At 43.3% G+C, this 20,905-nt stretch overlaps 1 pseudogene, besides 1 other annotated feature; it reads right to left on the bottom strand.

Annotated features, from left to right (window-relative positions):
- Window positions 5,624–6,070, bottom strand: PAXBP1P1 (PAX3 and PAX7 binding protein 1 pseudogene 1; annotated as a pseudogene).
- Window positions 16,262–16,468: a silencer, noted in NCBI's record as "fragment chr7:153136116-153136322 (GRCh37/hg19 assembly coordinates)". NCBI's record gives its function as "represses an EF-1alpha promoter that drives an FKBP-Casp9 reporter gene in an ReSE screen in phorbol 12-myristate 13-acetate-treated (for megakaryocytic differentiation) K562 erythroleukemia cells {active_cell/tissue: K562(+PMA)}" and the evidence as "EXISTENCE:reporter gene assay evidence [ECO:0000049][PMID:32094911]".

The following is a 20,905-nucleotide window of genomic DNA, read 5'->3' as shown; positions in this document are numbered from 1 at the left end:
GGGAAAAAAAAGGGAGATTGAAACCAGTGAGGACTGGGATTTGATAAATGAATTAGAGAGAAGCCAGCCCTGTCCCTAGACAGCAAATACACTTCACTGATGCCTGGGACAACTTAGGACTCCAAGACAATGAGATATTCCCATTGTGCTCTCTCTCTTTCTCCCTTTCCCTCCATTCCCCAACCCGTGTGTGTGTGTGTGTGTGTGTGTGTGTGTGTACGTGCAAATAGGCCATGGGTTTGCGGTCCATTTTTGACCCCTCTATCCAAATCCATTTTAGACAATAAGTAATTCTAGAAAAAGCAAAACAGTGAATGCAGCAGCCCAGGAGTTTCTATAGAATTGAAGGTCAATGTCCTACAAAGCTTTCTGAAGGTGCCAAAGGAGAGAAACTATCAAATGGATTCCAGAGAGACAAAAACACATTGAATAAAAAACATTCCTGCAGAGTTAATACAAGCTGTCTCCAGGGCTTGAGCAGATGGAAATCTCATCCATCCAGGCATTTCCTGGGAGGTAGTGCACAACGTGGTCTCCCTAAACCAAAGCATTCATCAAATTCTGCCGTTAGATACTGAGCACTAGTAGCTTCTATGAGTTTCTCAGAGGGCCAAAGGTGGAGGTTAGATAATCAATAGTGCTTTAGAGCGAGAAGAGATCTCAGAGATCAATTCACACAGCTAATTTTACAGATGAGGAAATCAAAGCTCTGAGGCATTTGTTGTCTCTCCCCAAATCTCATTAATCACAAGTTACAAAGAACGAAAGCTCAGGGTTCGGGCTCTTTATGAGACAGCGTGTATCAAAGAAAATGCTAAGGCCCCATATGAGGATGGCATAGAAGAAGCGTGTTTATCTCTGGACTGTCCCTCTGGAAGGCCCCCGAAAAAGATAGCAAATGCGTGACGGGAACACACGAACCCAAAAGGACAACAAGAACAGTTGAGATGATGCCAGATGAGAGACGTCAACGAGGTTTTAGAAGAGGCAAAGCGGATGCATGGGTGGTAAATAATATATCAGAGTGGAAAGAGCTGAAACCTAATCTGCAGAGAAAGAAAGCAATAAAAAGCAAGGTGATTTACACCACTGAACTGTGAGAAAGCCTCAGGAATTGAACTGAAAGTAGGACTGTGGGGTGGGGGCTAAGAAGAGGAGATGGGGGAACTTTGGTGTACAGACTACTTACAGCCTCAGATGGCTCTGTCCTCTTTCCCAGCCACTTGGCCAACCCAGCTCCTGAAAGCTACGCATATATGCAGACACCTACCTCTTCATACACATGCCCCCGAAGGCAGGGCTTGAGCTAAGGACTTATGTGTGTGTTGTTCATCTAGGAATATGATCCCAAGAAGTAGGAGTAAAGGAATAGCAGAAGTGAAAAGTGAAACAGCCAGGGTCATTATCATATTGGCCAGGGCTGTGGGTGACAAGTTGCTCCATCCGATGGGACTGTCTAAGAAGGCTTGTGAAATGGGCTCAGAACCATCTTCCCTAGGTGAGGAAAGAGGAATGCACTTTCTCTCATCTCCATCTACCACTGATGGATGGTGTCAGCTTCCCTACCCCGCCAGGTTGCCCTGTGCCAGTGCCCACTGGTTTTGCACTTCTAGGCCCCAGAGGAGCTCAGGGGCAGGGCCAGGAGTTGGGGTCCAAGTGCTACCCAGGGTCCCTGCGTCAGACTAGCCACACCCACATGGGATTTGTCATCACACTGGTGGCTGGAATAAGAGGTGGACAGAGAAGATTTAAAGTGGGGTGCAAGAGGTTTCCGTAATAACACAATTACTGAACTGAAGATTCTGGGTTTGGAAGTTTCAGATACAGTGGGAGCTTTTAGCAAGGAGCTGGGAGGTTTTAGCAAGGGGCTGAAAACAAAGGCTTTAATGTAAAACCCAAATACTGAAAGGAGGCTATCCCAGCCCACTTTCCTTGCTTTGGTCTCAGGATACTGGTAGCCAGATACTTCAGGCAGGAACTGCAGGATCTTCCCTAGAGAAATAATCTAGCCCAAGGTGAAAGACCTACAAATACTGATATTTTGGGATCTCTCTAACAAAATGGTCAAGTCCCAGTCCGACAACCCTAAATGGAATCTTAGCATTCAATGACCATGTACACATGGCTTCCAATGACTTTTCATCTCTCGGTCTTAAATAAGAATGGACAGCCAAAAGCCATCAAAAAATTGAAGCAAGCCTGTAATATTAAAGACAGTTTTTGTTTGTAAATTGTTATCTTATATACATTGACTCTCTTCCCTTCAAGGGCATTTGAATGTTTGTTTGCTTTTGATTATTAGTAATAGCCTCAGAGGGACAGAGGGATCTTGGCATTCAAGAGGCAGCACTGAGCTCAAGAGTGCTTACAAATGGTGGAATCAAAATCTGGTTCTGTTACTGATAGCAATGTGAAATCAGGAAAGTCACCGGACTCATCTGTACCTCAATTGCCTCATCAATAAAATGAGGAATAATAAGCCCTACATGCACACCCGGTGTCACTCACCTATAAAGAAAGAGCTACCATTGTACAGGGTACCATTCACATCAAATGAATAGAAATAGCTTTCTCTGGAGTTGTGCAGTGTCCAACATGCACAGCCATATGAGGAAGCCCTGTTTGGCAAAACTCCCAGGGAATGCCCACAGAGCTCTGCATGCACTGCCCTCTCCCAGGCGTCATACCACCATCACAGCGATGGCACTGAAGTGCAGAGATGCTTCTATCTTTAAAAACAAGGAAATAAAAGAATCCCCCTTGAACTCACATGCCTCTCTAGCTTCTTGTCCAGTTGTCTTTTTCCCTTATAGCAGGACTCCTCAAAAGAATCTACAATTCCTGAATCCCATCTTGTTGCCATCATTATTATATGCTTGGCTCTGGGGAAATCTTCTCATCCCTGCTCCCAGTATGAATACCCTCACCACAACATATATGAAATAATCTTATCAGTCCTTCAGCCTATATACCTTAGTCACTAATTCACAAGTCATTCCTTACCAGCCAGAAACTTACCCCATTTCATTGTGTACATCTCTGAGCCCTGATGCCTCCACAGAGCCCAACTCCTTCCACTCTGCCTTCTAGAACTCAAGGTCATCAGCAAAATAATCTATATTCCAGCTACATCTCTGAGCATTCCCTCCACCTTTCTCCTCTAGCTGAAGCCTGCCTGATCCTTGGGGACACTGCATCTCCTTCAGCCTGTTCTTTTAAAGCCCTTGAACCAGTGGGCTTGGAGGTGGTGTAGATGTTCTCCCAACTCTTCATTTGGCTTCTAGAGCATCATCCCTTCTTATTCATAAAAAAACCTAGTTCTTGCCAGTAGACAGTATGATTAGCTATCTATCGTTGTTACGGTCATCAATAAATCAGTAGGTTAATCCCCTCTTTTCTTGAGTTCATTGTTTTGATACTGTTTACCTGAATATAAGGACAACCCCTCCCTCCACTGGTATCCTGAATGTCATCCCCTCTAGTCTACTCAAAGATATCAGTGTCCTAATTTTCCAACCTTTCTCACAAAATTTTTTCCTCTCTGTGGCTCATTTCCATGATCATGAAAAGATGCTCCCATCTTGAAAAACAGTGAAAGAAAAGAACCTCTCACATGCCTCTCTAGCTTCTTGTCGAGATGTCTTCTTCCCCTTATAGCAGGACTCATCAAAAGCATCTACAATCCCTGAATCCCATCTTTTTTTCCATCATAATCTTTTGAAATCACTTCAATTGGACTGACAATAAAAGGAAAATCACCCTCGGCAAGGTCAACCCCATGTCATCAAATCTAATGGTCATTTTTCCAGGATTATCTTACTCAACTCAGCATTTGACACCATCAGCACCTCTCATTTCCATGATACATTGCCTTCACTTGATCTCCAAAAAGCCATTCTCTCCATTCTCTCATATGTCCTCCTGCCACCCTACTCACTCCTTCTCAGCCTCTCTTACTCGTTTCCCTAACCAAAGCATGGCATTGCATGAAGACTCAGTCTCCAAATGTCTCCTGTCTTTCTTACATTTATCTGTGAGCTCATCTCATCCATTCAGTTGGCTTTAATTTCCATCCATATGCAGAAGTGGTCAAACATATGTGGCCTCTCCCCTGAGTTCTGCATAAGTACTCTCTCCCAGATGTCTGATAGGAACTCAAACAGAACACTCAAAACAGAACTTGATTTTTCCTCCCAAATGTGCCACTCCCATAGTCTTCCAAAACCCAATTAATGGTAAGTGCATTCTCTCATTTAATCAGGCCAAGAAACCTTAGTTTCTTTTTTTTCACTGAGTGACTCCCTCCTGCCACATCCATTGTATCTGTGTGGACAGATGATGGATAGATGAGAGAGAGAGGGAGAGATAGAGACAGAGAGAATGAGAGAGAGAGAGAGAGAGTGAGTGAGAGAGAGAGAGAGAGAGGCCCATACCTATCTTAAATATTTATAAAACTCTTTCCTTTCTATGGACAAATGATGGATAGATGAGAGAGAGAGAGAGAGGGAGAGAGAGAGAGACAGAGAGAGAAAGAGAGAGAGAGAGGTCTCTACCTACCTTAAATACTTATAAAACTCTTTCCTTTCTATGGACAAATGATGGATAGATGAGAGAGAGAGAGAGAGAGGGAGAGAGAGAGAGACAGAGAGAGAAAGAGAGAGAGAGAGGTCTATACCTACCTTAAATATTTATAAAACCCTGTCCTTTCTAAGAATCAGAAGCCACCTTTCACTACAAATTTTCCAGTGGTTTCTGCATTGCTTGTGTCTCTGTTAATCCAGATGAGGAGAAATGTTCTTATCAAACATAACCCGAAAGAACAAAGACCCCAAATTAATGGCCTGATTCAACACATGCTCTATCACATAAGCAGAAGAGGGTAAGTAGGTTGAGCTTTCACCCCACCATCACTTCAGCAAACATCAAGAAGCCTCTGTTGTCCAATGAGTGATGAGTGATGGAGTTCTTCGGGTCAGGGTTTCTTCCAGGGCATTTCTGAAGTCCTGGAGCCTGCAGAGGAGCCCATGGAAACAGCCAGCACAGGAGTCCACCTGTCTGGGCCTTTACAATTTGGGATCAATCCTAGGATTAAAATAGGCAAAGTATCTCTTGGGATCTCTTCTATATTTTTCATTGTAATTCAACTCAATAAATACTTTCTAAACATGCAAATTTGCTGTGTTAAATTGTGTGGCTGCAAAGATGTCTAGAAAGGAGACATCCTCATTTGGAAAAGTATTCATATTACATTCCCTTTCTCCCTCTGCACAAGCCTGCTTTTCCTGACTACCCTCAACTGCCCAGTGTGTCTTTTCCCAATATCTTAAATCATATCTTCTCTGCCCACTATCAAACATTCTTCAGCTGTAACTAGGGACAAAAGTTGCTGATTACATTCATTCATTCTCAGGAATAAATGATTAGGAGTTCCCTTTAAACTCTCACATTTTTTAATACAATAAGACTCTTCATGTCAAAACAAGAATCAGTATTTTACAGCTTAATAAACTTTATATATGTACACAATGCATATACTGAAAATAAAATCAAAGCAAATAATAGGCTCTTCGGTCTCATAGATCTATTTCTCCTTAATAAAATCTTAAATTCTTTCACACTTGCAAGAGATAGCAATACCCAGGGCTTGAACAATTGCAAGGAGTTTTACTTGCATTTTTCCCCTGCATTTCTCTTTTCCAGACCAGAGCACCTAACACTGTTTTTGTAAATTGTACAAGTATACAAGGTATTGACAAGTTTTCTAACTGAGAATTAGTTTTCTTCTCTCCAAAGCTAAGCCACTGTTTGGGAAAGCAATTGGTTACATTTTGGGCTTTGTTGATGCTGTCATTTCCATATCCTGAATTCTAAAAAGTCATAGGAATGTATCTAGTAAATCATTTATTGGTAATTCTAGAAGAGTTTTATTTGAGAAAATGCCATTCCACTGGAGTTTTATAGAAGATCAAACAGTTATTGAAAAAAAAAGACCTAGAATTTTTACTAAGACATTTTTTGAATAGAAGGGCATGAATACATCATCATCTAAAGTTCTTCTCATTCTCCATAACTCCCACATATTTTTATTTGATTTAAAACATGTCTATCTTTCAAAATCCAATCCTCAACTGATCACATCCCAGGAGATGTATATTGGAGGAGGTAAATGCCTTGGGCTGGGATTCACACCATGTAAGATTTCCCCCTGCTTCCCTCCAGCCCTTGTCATCTCCATGAACAAACTGCTCAATCCTGGAAATGGGGAATCATTTCCTCTTCTTGTCATCACTAACCTTCAGACCCAATCCATCCCCAGGTCTTGTCATTTCTATTTCCACACAAGGGATCTTGGCTATGTCAGTTTACCTCCACCATCACTACCCACTACTATTCCAAGGAGGCCATGATTTTTCACCTGAACTGGCAATAGGCTCCTAATTGCTATCCATTTCTGATGGATTCTAAACCATTTCATACCCATCAACCAAAGTGCTCACCCTAAAGTGTTATTTGTATATCACTTCTTGTTCAAAATATATAATAGGTTACACGCATGAATGGGCTATTGTGGAGAATTTGCATCAAGGTCCAAGAAACCCTGGAGGATCTGGCTGTAAGGAATCCCTTCCCTTGACTCACTGTGCTCTAGTCACCCTGCTCTTCTTTCAATTCCAATGAAGGTCTTTTCTGACTCAGGACCCCTGTACATACTGCTGTCTTGGGAGATACTAAGCACAAATTTTGTAAATTATAACTTTAAATTGTACAATCAGGGAAGTCTTTTTTGAACCCTACAGAGTGAGTAGGTCATCCTGTTATATTGTCTCATAGCTCTCTCCTTGAATATATTAAAGTCATTAATTACATAATTATAACTATTTTTAGTCTTCCTCTCTGCTAGATTATAAGCCTCATGACAGCAGAGATATGGCCATATTCCTGTTAAAGACATCTCCTTTGCATGAAGCCCCCTCAAAAAATAAATAATTGCTTACTCAAATATTTGTTAAAGATTAAGTGAAATAAGCCATGCACAGAAAGACAAATACTACCTATTCTCACTCATATGTGGGAGCTAAAAAAGTTGATCTCAAGGAGGTAGAGAGTGGAATGGAACTTGAGTTGATTAATGGGTACAAAACTACAGTTTGATGGAGTACATTCTAGTGTCTGATAGCACAGTTGGGTGACTATAGTTAACAATAATTTATTATATGTGTCAAAAAATAACTAGAAGAGAAGATTTGAAATGTTTCCAACACAAAGAAATGATCAATGACACAATGGACACCCAACAACCTGATTTGCTCATTCCACATTGTATGCATGTATCAAATATCACACTTACCCCATAGATGTGTACAATTATTATGTGTCAATAAAAAGAATAAAATAAAATCTGCCCTGCCTCAGAATGACTTACCTTTTCTTTTTAACCTAGACTCATTTTTGCTATTTTTAATGAAAAACGGTGTTTCTGAGAAACAGAGAGCTCTCTCAACTCCATTTGTTGCTATAACACATAAATCTTGTTGTGTTTGAGCTATGGCACATTTTCAGATTTATTCCTCACTCATGTAACACTCGACATGAGTGTTCCTGACCCACAGGCAGCACTCCTTGTCTACAAGGAGACCCAAGCTCCTCCCATCCGGAGAAACCACCATGTCCAACACACAGCTGTCAAGGCTGCACCAGGCATTTGCACTGGGACAGGGAGAGGGGAGGGGCAGAGAAGACCTAGCTCAGGAAGTGGGGAAGCAGTGCACCTAACTGCACTCACATTCCATCACCCAGGACTCTGCACCTGGGCCACGCCTAACTGCAGGAGAGCCTGAAGGGGAAATAATTTCATTATCAGTTCAAAGGCAGTTCCAAACTTATGAAGGTATTCCTCTCTTAAGGCAGTTGTTAAGGATTTGGAAAGCACTTTTATTCCTAGCTCCACTGTAGTGCTGAGGTCTTTACGCCAGCACACAGGACCCTATAAACCCATAAGGATCACACCTGAGGCCATCTCTGTCTTTGGCCCAAATCACGCTCTCTTCTTCTGCATAGGCACATCCCGACCTGCAGGACTCCCCCAGGTCACCAAGTCACCACCAGCATCTGGACCTTCGAATCAGCAGCATTGAAACAAGTCATGACAAAAGGTAACACTCAGAGCTTTGGAAGGGAACAGGCCTTCGGGTGGGGAGATGTGGAGGAGAAATGACAGCATGAATTAAAGCCCTAACTCCTAGCTTTACTGAGAGCCACCCACGATCTGAAACCCCAGCAGCCTCCCCTTCCTGCCGTCACCACTGGGCTTTCTGTCTTCCTCCATCACCTTCCAACTTCTGACTGAAACACAGCTTGTTTTCCTCTCAAGTGTTTTATTTCAAATTAAATTGTCAGTGAAAATTCTTTGTGTCTTAAGGGTCTCGTTATACCAGTGAGTTTCCATACAAGGACTCAGTGAAGAAAGAGGGAGGATTGGTCTGCCTACATGGAAAATTTTGTGTTTATTGTTTTTCTTGAGATGTCCTACAATTTGAAGCAAAAGTAACTGGCTTGCTCCATGGGCCATAAATTATAAAGTAAAAAATATGCTATAATGGACCAAAGGTGAGATGTATAAGTTGGAAGGAATAAGCTAGGAGAGAAAAGACTACAGGTAGCTCCCTGCTCCCCAGGGAATAAAACAGAAGGAAGGGGCTGAGAAGCTGCCCGAGACAGCTGAGTGTCTATGAAGGATTAGGCAGACCTATAGCACAGTCTCCCCAGTTCCCAGAAAGGGCGAATTGCCCCTGGGTGTGTGGGGCTTTCACCACAGGAGGGCCACCTGGAGGAAGCATGTGTCCTCTCAATGACAGCTCCACTCCCTTTCTCAGAAGAAAGGGGCAAAGACATCTGTGGCCAAAGTTGACAAAATAAACCCACAACCTATGTACCTAGTATTCTTGTTCAGCAAATGTATCCAGAGCTTTGATTTGCAGGGCACACATTTAATTTATGAACTGCTCAATTGGACCTCTTTCTTTCCTTCCTTTCCTTTCCCCTTCCTTCCTTCCTTCCTTCCTTCCTTTCTTTTCTTTCTTTTTTTTTTTTTGACAGTTTCACTCTTGTTGCCCAGGCTGGAGCATAATGGCACAATCTAGGCTCACCGCAACCTCCACCACCCGGGTTCAAGTGATTCTCCTGCCTCAGCCTCTTGAGTAGCTGGGATTACAGGTGCCCACCACCATGCCCAGATAATTTTTGTAGTTTTAGTAGAGACAGGGCTTCACCATGCTGACAAGGCTGATCTCCAACTCCTGACCTCAGGTGATCCATCCACCTCGGTCTCCCAAAGCACTGGGATCACAGGCGTGAGCCACCACACCTGACCTGGGCCCATTTCTTTACTTCAATATGAATATATAAGAAAGCCATTACCTGAGAGTAGAGTGGTCTTAGACAAGTACACGAAGTCAAGTTTTCTAATGCCTCACACTTGATTCCATTAGCTGCCTCTGCTTTTCCCTCCACTTTCTCAACCCTTTCTGCTTTATCTTCTCCACTTTTCTCCCATTTCTCCCTCCTTTAGCTCTGTATGGCTTCTGTTTTCCTATCTCCTCTCCCAAGGTCAGCCTCGGTGCTGCCATGATCTCGGAGGCCCTGGTCCAGCTAATTTCCTTCTCACGCTGGGCTGCAGATGCTACATTTCCACCCTCATTCCATCTGTGATGAATCAATCCAAAAATTCTTTTGAGTGCTTAGCGTGTGCCAAGTATAGAGGTAAAATTGTGGGGCAGGGACTTTCATTCCCAGGATGTCAGAAAGTTTCCAAAATTAGTGAAACTCTTAGGTGAATTGTCGGCTTTGGTGTTATCCAGAACTATCATTTATTAGCTGTGAAGCTTTATAAAAAGTGTTTGCCTTCTCCACGCTGTTTTCTCATCCATAAAGCAGGCATTATAAGAATGCCTACTTTCGAAGGTGCTAGTGAAGATTAAATAAGATAATGTATGGGAAACATTTGTTACAGAATGGGATGCATAGCACTAACAACAAACATATACTGAGATCTCATTACCCCCTCATATTAATGTTGAGTTGGCAAAATGACAACATGAATCACCTGGACATCTGCAGGACACTTGACCATTCTTACAGCTGAGCCTGAAGGCTGAGCATGTCCCCATCTATCACCTAAAGGCTGGTACTTCCCACAGCTACAACATCTGCCCCAACTCCTTCCTGCCTTCAGTCCCACGTCTGCTGGCCTCTGGCTGGGAAAGGCACAGGGAGTGAGGACCAAGTGGCAAGATGGTCTAGGAGTCCCAGGCCTTCATACAAGGTCTTCCCGTCTCAGAGCCACGCATGCAGGTGTGCAATAACTCTCTCAGCCCCAGTATGGGGCTTGGAAGTTAGAGTGTTCTGGAAGCCTGAACCCCAAAAGTCAGCAGTGGAGTGAGCGCTTTGCCCAAGTGATCATGCAGGCTGTGGCATTATCTGGTATTTTGTGTTTATTACGGCCAGGGAAAACTTCCTCGCACAGCAGGGGAGCTGAGGATAGTGCTCGTGTACTGTATATGGTTATGCCGCAATCACGACTTTTATGAGAATCATGTCTTTCAGAGATAAGCTCGAGAGAGATTGCTCATTTTTATTGTTTTGCCTGGAAATAGGAAATTCCCTTCTTGCAGTGATGCAAAGCAGTCTTTTGATCTCCCTCCAGAAACAGACACATGCTAGCGAGATGCATGTCCTCCAACTCCCTTCAGCTGGGCATGGTTTGCAAAATTAATGAATCGGAAAGATTCCAGTTGCACAGTAATATTAATGATGATAATTGTTTCAATGATATCTCTGACTTTTCAAAATGCTTTCATATCAATTCTCATTTCATTCGCAAGTGCACTTAAGAAGGAAGGCCTCATTTTATTGGTACTTGGCTCATCTATGATTAAATGGTAACCCAAAGAAGTCACCCAGCTTTCCTAGGTCACAGAGCTAGCTAGTTAAAGAAAACATTGTACCAGAACAGCAGGCTCCAGGTGTCCGGTCACATCTCATTTCTACCTTATCCCGTCACCTTACACCAATAATGCTTCCTTTTCATTCTTCTTTCTGTATTCAGCGAGTAACAGTCTTATCCAAGCTTTCATTGTGACATGTCTTCTAATCTTCCTTGCTATCCTATCGCAATTGCCATCAGATGAAACTGACCTTAAGTGCTTGCAATAGGCCTCATAATTTCTTCACTTCTAGAAACGAAGTGCCCAGACATGTGTCCATTCCCACTACAACATCACAACATCATGCCTCCTACACACTGTCTTTAATACTCTATTATCTGTAAAATAAAACCCAAACTCTCCTCTCAGGCATGTGAGGCTCCCACCTACTACTCAAGCTTACTTCCAGGGAGAATCCTTCTCCCCAGGCAGCTGCATTGGCCCACCGTTCTCATCATACACCTCAGGTGCTCTGATCTGAGACCTCATCCTCAATCCTCCCTTCCCCCAGAACACACCCCTGCTCTACCCAGTCCCACCTCCTGCGGAGCCCTGTGGGGTCCGTACTGCCCGTCCATTAAGCCTTTTCTGACCACTCCAGCCAGCAGGGCACAGTCTGCCTGTGCTCCTTAAACATGATCTTTTTTGTTCACTGTCCCCACAGAACTCCAGGAAACTTGAATGCAGCGCTTTCTTTAAGCCCTAAACACCTGGGACAGTCTTCTGTACATCATAGGCGGTAGGCATGATCCCTGTGCACCTTCTGAGCACAATCTGAGCACTTGGAGAGAAGAGGCAAAAGGGATGTCAAAAATAATTTTAAAAACAAGCCAAGGATCTACAGTGTGGACTTCCAAATCCCCTTGGCAACGGCAGCTAAGAAGAGCTCTGTAGTGGATGTAAATAATTTAGTCTCCAAGTGGACTGAGTTTTTGACTTAAGTTTGAAAAAAATGTCTGTGAATCACTCTGAAACTACACAGGGAGAGCAAAAGTTCCCTATGGATCTTTTTGAAGGATGTTTTTCAAAGGCATTCAGTGTGGTTACAAGTTTACAGAGAGGTCTGCTTCAGAAGAGAAAGTCGCGGGAGTCTCTATGTCTAAAGTCATTTCTAATGAAGATATATGATTCCTGCAGCCGGTTACTCTCAATGAGAGACTTTGCAGTGCCCTATGACATACCCTGGGTGAGCTCAGACATAAATGCAGCAAAAAAGACAAAGTAGCAGCCAGCTGCCTGATGTTTTCTGCTAATTCAACTGGGATCCTGCATTACTGGGAAGAAGAGAACAGGGAAGAGGTGACTTTCTCGGTGTGTCCTGTGGGGTGACACTGTCTTGCTGCACACAGATGCCAGTCTGGACCATGTGGCTGGAGCACTTCCCCCCTGGCATCCCTCCAACCCAGTTCTCTCTCGGTACTGGGTCATCACACTTCCTTTTGAATAGCCCCAGGTGAATATCTGTTATTTACCGTCCACCTTGGATATGTCTCTCCTGAGATTTTTAAGCAAAGTCTTACAGTTAATATTGTTATTACCTAATCAGCACTTCCCAGGACTTATTCTTACTAAAAGTTTTATCAACAAGACAGAGTGTCAAGGCTATATCTAATAATGCCTGCCTGTTCAGTTTTGGTAACTGTATTAGTCCATTCACACACCGCTATGAAGAAATACCCAAGACTGGGTCATTTATAAAGGAAAGAGGTTTAATTGAATCACAGTTCCACATTGCTGTGGAGCCCTCAGGAAACTTACAATCATGGTAGAAAGCAAAGGAGAAGTAGGTACATTCTTCACAGGCAGAAGGATGGAGTAAGTGCAAGCAGGGGAAATGACAGACGCTTATAAAAACCATCAGATCCTGTGAGACTCACTCACTATCACGAGAACAGCATGAGGGAAACGACCTCCAGGATCCAGTTACCTCCACCTGGTCCCACCCTTGACACATGGGGATTATGGCGATCACAATTCAAAGTGAAATTTGGGTGGGGATGCAGAGCCAAACCATATCAGTAACTGAATGTCAACGTCACTTGCAGCAATTGATTGACAACGTGATGGGCAATGCAGCTTGATTCTACTTTCAATGAGACCTCAATCATTTTGTAATAATTAACACTTACACTAGACAGAGGATACTGGCTGGAGGAGGGTCTGGAGATCACTGAATAAGTCATAATTATCAGTAGTTAACACTTGGGGCTGTTTACTATATGTCTGGCATTGTGTGAGCACTCTCTCTTACATGATTCTCACTTAACAGATGAAGAAACATTACCTCTCTTTCTCTCAAACTTGCTAGTACCACACTCAAATCCAAAGCCCACAGTCAACATTCAAACCCAAAGCTTACACTCAACACTCCTGCACTGCCTGGACCTTTCTGGAAGGGTTTCTGTTGTGCTGTAGAAGACGGTTTACAAAGCATTGCTTTAGAGAGCAGGGAATTTGAAGTTTGGGTGGGTCTTTGCTGTTTAAGTTTCCAAAAATTCCTGAAAGATGAAGCAGGCAATCTGAATTTTAACTTGACTTAGCCATTAATCATTAAGATCATCTTAGGAAACCCACCAGTACATCAACAAACACAATAGGAGTAGATTATTGTGCCTTTATTGTGTTTGTTGTGCCCTTCTTGTGAGTGCAGAGCCCTCATGAATGAGATAGGGCCCTTATTAAAGGGACTCCAGAGAGCTCACTTGCCCCTTCACCATGCCAGGACACAACTAGAAGGTTCTGACTCTGAACCACAGAGTGGGCCCAACAGGGTTACGGCTTGAGTGTGTCCTGTGTCCTCCAGCTCTCCGCAAAGCATTGGGAAATCTAGGGTAGAACAGGACATCACGATACAGTCACAAAATTCACACATGAAATCATTACAAAACGCTTTTATGGAGGTGACCATGAGCTCAGGGTTCATGAAGCACTCAGAGTAGGATTCATGTTGCAGACAGGACCAGAAAGGGATCTGAAGGGTGGGAGGACTCAGACGAGTGGGGACAAAGAAAAGTGAGCTTTCTGGGCAGCGTGCATGGCCAGGGTGCAGTTGAACAAGGCATAGGTGGGTGTGCTGGGAAGACAGTGTCATTGCACCTGAGTGTGGGTGGTTACCTGCGAGGCAGGGAGGGGCTCCCACAGGCGGGAGGGTTTGGACTTGAGAGTGACATTGTGGAACTCACCCCGCTCCTCCCCTCAGCCTGCTGGGTGCACTAAACCTCTTAGGAGTTCCTGAACTCTTCTTGCCTGTTGCTCTTACGCCTCTTCCTGAACGAGGACTGTTAGGTACCTTGCTAATTTTCGAGTTATTTCTGTGTGAGTTATTATTATGATGCCAATTCATTCTCAGGTGCACCAAAGATATCATCAAAATGATTAAGTCCAGATGTCACAGGATACCATCTTTAAGGAAGGGTTTTTTAAAAGGCATGGGAGCTTCCTTCCTGTCTGCATCCTTGACTTCGCTGCCACGGCATTCATCATGTTCACTCCCTTCTCCTCATTTCCTTTCTTGCCCTCTCTATTCTCTGGCTCTCCTCCTACACATTCCATTTTGTCTTCTATTGTGAGTAAAAGATAAAACCTGAGTGACTCCCCCAGTGCCCAGCATGTCTCATCTCTCAAAAAGAATGTCCTTGCTGCTCCACCCACACTGATCTTCCTCATCTCTGAGATCCAAAAGCACCGGCCCTGGGTCATAACAGCAGCAGCAGCAGCACAGCAGGGGCCACTCTGTGAGCAAGGGCCATGTGCAGGGCACCAGGCAGAGGGGCCGGGTGACAGGCAGGTGGACGACACAGGAGGCAGCCAGCACCATTGTCCAGCCTCCTCTCTGGGGGCCTAGCAGCCAGTGGTCTTCATGCTTCATGGGGAAGGAAATCACATGGGTTATTAAATGCCCTCCAAAAACTGCTGTGTGGTCAGATCCTCCCTGGTTTCATCTCTATACTGACAGCAGATGTGTCTGCCTTCTGCAAGCAGACTTCCATGGTAAAATCTCTTCCCTACTTAACACTCAGTCCAGGCTGGGCTTCCTCAGATCCAGCTGCCTGCAGTTTTCATTAAGCAGCGGACCTTCCAAGTCATTCCTGTTGTAGCCCAAAGATAGGAGGAAGTGGGCTTCTCCCAGGAAGTCCCCTCGGACTTCCATTCCAAGCTTAGAATGAGAGTCTCTTCAATGGGACTCAGCCCTGTGAGGGCTCTCGAAGACAAGAGGCTTCATTGAGTCAGATGGAACCAACCTTCTTGCCTTGGTAGCTTTTCTCTTGGGAGGTCCTTTTCTTCCAACAGTCCTTTCCGAGTCTACTTCACCTCATCAGGGGAGAATTCCTCAATGTCCCTGATCTCTGGGTGACTGTCTTAGTCCATCTGGGTGGCTGTAACAAAATGCCATAGACTGGTGGCTTATGAACAACAGAAATGTCTTTCTCACAGTTCTGGAGGCAGGAAGTCTGAGATCGAGATGCTACAGATTTGGTGTCTGGGGAGGGCCCACTCTGTGGTTCAGAGTCAGCACCCTCTCCCTGTGTCCTCACATGGCGGAAGGGCCAAGTGAGCTCTCTGGGGTCCGTTTAATCAGGGCCCTATCTCATTCATGAGGGCTCTGCACTCACAACCTAATCCCCTCCCAAAAGGCCCCACCTCCTAAAACCCTCACCTTGGCGGTTAGGATTTCAACATACAAATTTGGGGTCTGGGGGAGGGACAAACGTTCAGACCATAGCAGCGACCCATGGTTTAGAGACAAGAAGTTCTTTGTCATTCCCCTGTTGTTTCTCTCTACAGCCGGCCGAACTTCACCAAGTGGTTCATCGTGCCCAGCACCTGGCTGAGGCCTTGGGAAGGTTTACAAAATGCTGGAAAATCACATATGTAAGCTGGAGGGTTAGGGTTAGCAGTCATCTACTCCAGGCCGTCCATACATAGATATGAATCCTGCTTCCAGGCTGCCGAGATGACCTGTCCCAGCTTACACAGGCTCCGAGTGACGCAGCCAAGGAAGGTACTTTCTCATCCTCCCCAAATATCTCTGATTCAGATTGTGAGACCAGGTGAAAAGCTTATTAGAAGTATATCTAAACTAAGAATAAATAAGACGTGATAAATGCCTGAGAAACTCTGTTATGAGTCAAGAATGAATTTGGGGGTAGCTAATGTAGATATATCACACTCAGTCAACTGAATTCTTTTAGGATCATTTCTTTTCACTAAGCAAGTGATCCTGCAAGGTGCTGATCATGCCCACCTGATGATCCTGAGGTCTCTGTTTACTGATGTTGCCTCTCAGTGGAATTTGTTTCTCTTTCCAGGAGTTATTGGGTGGTGTGTAGAATGCAGGAAATAATAAATATTTTACACCTCTCTAGAGGATGGACGAAGATGAGCTGCCACCCACAAGAGAGCAGTAAGGAGAGTCAACAGCAGCTGATCCTCTTTCCCACAGCAAAGAGAGGGAAGGGGTGAGCGGCATCTCACAAACACCGGGTCTCCTCTAACTTGTCTGTCTTCTCTCATTACCAGCCCGCCATGGCATGACAGAGACTTGGGGGCTGCATTAACATTCTCCAACAGAGATCTTCATCGAGAGGCACTGAGCACGCAGACACAGAGAGGGAAAATCATCCCACAAAGATCATCATTGGGCTAAACGAAACTACCAGCCAACAGCAAAGCAGAATCACTGGGTGAATAAGTAACAAACTGATACTAATCAAATGTGAAAAACTTATGCCTGAGGGCTAAGCGGGACCTAGGTGAATGCCTGAGCTCTCAGATATGAGAACAGGGGGCTACAAATGGGAAACATGTAACTCACGGAGCCTGCGGATGACAAGCTGGTAAACTCATTAAACCTGGGTCTTCACAGAGCAGTGTGGGAAGGTCCAGGCACTCACAGCTGTAAAGAAATCACACACCGAGGACTGTTGTGGGGTGGGGGGAGGTGGGAGGGATAGCATTAGGAGATATACCTAATGCTAAATGACGAGTTAATGGGTGCAGCACACCAACATGGCACATGTATACATATGTAACAAACCTGCACGTTGTACACATGTACCCTAAAACTTAAAGTATAATAATAATAATAATAATAATAAAAAGAAAAAAAGAATTCCAGTTTCCCCATTCCAACTTTCAACTGAAAAAACTGAGTGCAATGTTGGCTTTTAGTGATTACCAATTATTTTCTAAACACTAAAAAGCCTTCAACTTGGCAGTTCAGATTGTATTTCCTGTGAAGTTTCTTTTATTCCTGTTTTCACTATTGTGGCTGCCATACTATTTCATGTGTGTATGAATGAGAGTATGGGCCCGTAAGTGAGCACATTTTTGTACTTGCCCTCAGGAGTTTATAATAACATATGAAACATAAAATACCTCAATATCCTTGAAGTGTTTACCATTTCCTGATGAATGACTTGTTTATTGGAAGCCCCTCTCTCATATAAATTACCAGAACAATGGCCCAGTTGGAACTCATGAGAAATGATGAACATTCTTCCCATGCTAAATCATCAGAAATTCCTTTAGATTTATCGTGTACTAAAAATTCTCAAGGTCATCCAACTTCAATACAGAATTTTAAATGGCATGGGAGGGAAGAGAATCTCCCAGAAATATCATTACTGGTTTTGAAAGACATTCTGTATTTCCATCATGCTTCATATTTAAAAGAAAATAGGAGACATGCAGAGAGAAGGCAGGGTTAGAACATGAGGCACTTGGGAAGGGGGAGAAAGAGAAATGATTAGTGTGAGGAAAACACAACAAGGGAATCTCCAAGAAGCAATGTCCAAGAGAACAAAGAACGCACTGCCCTCCACCAGAGACAAAATGAGAGCCTCTCTTACAGCCTTGCTAAAGAGGGTAAGACTCAGGTGAAGCACAGCACAGAGGAACACAGGCTAAAGGGGCAAAAGCACAATGTTTAAAAGAGACTTGGGGAAGCAAACAATCAGTCCTCAGAGATTATAATTTGAAAACAATTGTTTGAAGACTGACAGAAGCAAAACATAAATTGACTGAGAAAAGATAAAGAATCCTCACGGGCTATGAATAAAAGGAAAGTCACAGGGGTTACGAATTCTGAAACTATTTTGTTCTGTGTTCTGGGGTTGAACAAATAAATACAGGTAATAAGAACCACATCTCTCATTGTTGGAGGAATACTTTACAAATTCTTCAAGAAAAGGGAGAGACTGGGAAGAACTCTGTGGTGCTGGATTTGGAGTTGGAGCAATATAAATTTATGGTTTTATTTTAATGTATGTGCTGAAAACTAAAGGAATAAATGCAGATGTGTATATGCATGTGTTATATAAGTAAATATATTCCTAGCTCTACGCATTGAGGGCACCTAGAAGTAGCAGGAAGACCCTGGTATCAATGGGCACAATTATCACACACAACTTGGTTTCTAAATACCATTCTATAGTAATAATGGTAATAATAATAATGGAGTCAGGGCTCCTTAGTGAAGCGACTGATTCAAAGACTGGAATAAAGAAAATATAAGATGATCCTGGACCATTCCATGGAGCTAGAAAATAAGAAAACGCTGAACAAAGTAGCACACATATTGAAAGATGGGACCCAACCTCCCAATGGCCAGAGTTAGAACAACTTGAGGAAATAATTATATGAGATAAATAACAATGGTGATGGATTATAACTCAAATACAATAAATATCCATGAGTCCATACTGATAGAAATAACCAAATAAGTAAGTCAAAGGAAGAAGTGGTAACTCTTCCTTACAGAAGAATTCCAATGAAAAAATGAAGAAGGAAAGAGAAAAATCCAAAATTACCATTAGAACCACAGAGTAACATCAGTGCAGTCAAGATTCACTGATACAAGTGTTAAAATTAGTGGGCAAAAGTTTAAGCAGAGATAGGATATTGTATTAGTTCTCACGCTGCTATGAAGAAATACCTGAGACTGGGTAATTTATAAAGAAAAGAGGTTTAATGACTCACAGATCTGCATGGCTGGGGAGGCCTCAGGAAACTTGCAATCATGGCAGAAAGCACCTCTTCACAGGGTGGGAGGAGAGAGAATTAGTGCAAGCAGGGGAAATGCCAGATGCTTGTAAAACCATCAGGTCTCATGAGACTCTCATTATCACAAGAACGGCATGGGGGAAACTGCCTCCACGATTCAATTACCTCCAGCTGGTCCCACCCTTGACACTAGGAATTATGGGGATTACAATTCAAGGTGAGATTTGGGTGGGGACACAGAGCTAAACCATATCAGATATCTTCATAGTCTCAAAGTATCTTTCCCAAAAATCCACAGTAGAGATGCCTCTTGGTCACATGATCAAGGCCACCATCACCAAAACACACAAATTGAAAAACTGTACCATTTGATAAGATGCCCTGAGACGGACATGTCATCTCTGCTTTCTAGTAACACAGAGTCTTGATCTGATCACTAGAAACCTCAGACAAACTCAACTAAAGTGTTGTTCTATAAAATGCCTCACCAATATTCTTCAAACGTGTCAAGGTCATGAAAGTCAAGGAAAGACTGAGGAACTGTCACAAATTGCAGGAGACTGAAGAGACAAGGTGACAAAATGTAACATGGAATCTTGGAACAGAAAAAGGACATTAGTGGAAAAAAAAACTGGTGAAACCAAAATAAGTTCTGTACTTTACTGAATAGCATTACATAAAGGTTAATGTCTCAGTTTTGAATGACTATTCTATGATCATATAAGATATTGATTGAAGAGAGATAGGATGAAGAATACATGGAAACTCTACTATTTTTGAAGCTCTCCTTTAAGTCAAAAATTATTTCAAAAGATTAAGAGAAAGTCCCACTGATAACAATAATAAAAAATGGTAGTGATTAGTAAATGAATGGCATCATGCAGCAGACACTAATTTCATTTAATGTTACCTAATAGAATTCATTTGTTCCTTTTTAAGAAAAGTGTTTATAAAGGAAAGTGAGAAAAAACACTGTTTATTGATTCATTATGCTTCTTATACTTCACTGATCTTCAATGGACATGGGCCAGCCCTCTCGACTTTCCCCATACACAGCTCTACCGCCCATTGCTCATCCATGCCCCTGGTTTCAAATAGGGAGAATCAGAACTCAGGCCAAATCCCTTCCTTATTAATTATTTCCAAAAGAGAGAGAATCAGAACATGATCTAGTCTGCGGGGACTTTCCTGATTCCTAATTATGACAGCAGCTGAGTTGAGGCTGCCTTCCAAGGAGAACCCACTAATTCAGTCTGTGGTGGGCCCAGATAGCAGAAGGTGAGGGATCTGATCTAGCTGGATCCTAAAATGATGGAAGAAAGAGGAAGATGTTTCCCCTTGAGCCCAGGAGACCAGCAAGGAGGCAGCTGCTCCAGGTCATTGGCTGGTCTCCTGTCCTTGGCTCTCGGACAGGCAATGGCATTAAGTTTCTCACTCTAAGAACACTAGACCCTTGACATCAAGGCCTTCTGAAGAGATAAACAAGTGAAGTGATAAGTTCCATTCTCCTTGTTGTGCCCTTTTGTTCTCTCCTGAAAAGTCACAGAAGACCTTAAGAAGCAGCTGATAAAGGAGCAAAGAGGTTTCTCATCGTGTGAATGCCTGGGCATCCTCAAATGTGAATATTGCTTCTGACACTATTACATGTTCCATACTTCAAAGCATTCACATCTGTCTTCAGATTGCAGCCCACTTACAGGTGAGGAAATGGGCAGTTCATGCACATAACATACCATTTATCATCTGCCGCATGCCAGGTCGTGTGCTAGGGGCTGACTAATGCATGTGGTGAACAGAGTAGACACTCTCTCTGGCCTCATTGATCCTAGTGGGTGCAGCAGAAGCTGATGACATACCTCTGCATGTGGTTTTTACGATTCACTTTTGTAGCCTTACAAACTTACAAACTCCCATTTCCC

The sequence above is a fragment of the Homo sapiens genome, chromosome 7 (assembly GCF_000001405.40).
Source record: "Homo sapiens chromosome 7, GRCh38.p14 Primary Assembly".
NCBI lineage: Eukaryota > Metazoa > Chordata > Mammalia > Primates > Hominidae > Homo > Homo sapiens.
This window is presented reverse-complemented; position numbering and strand designations above follow the sequence as displayed.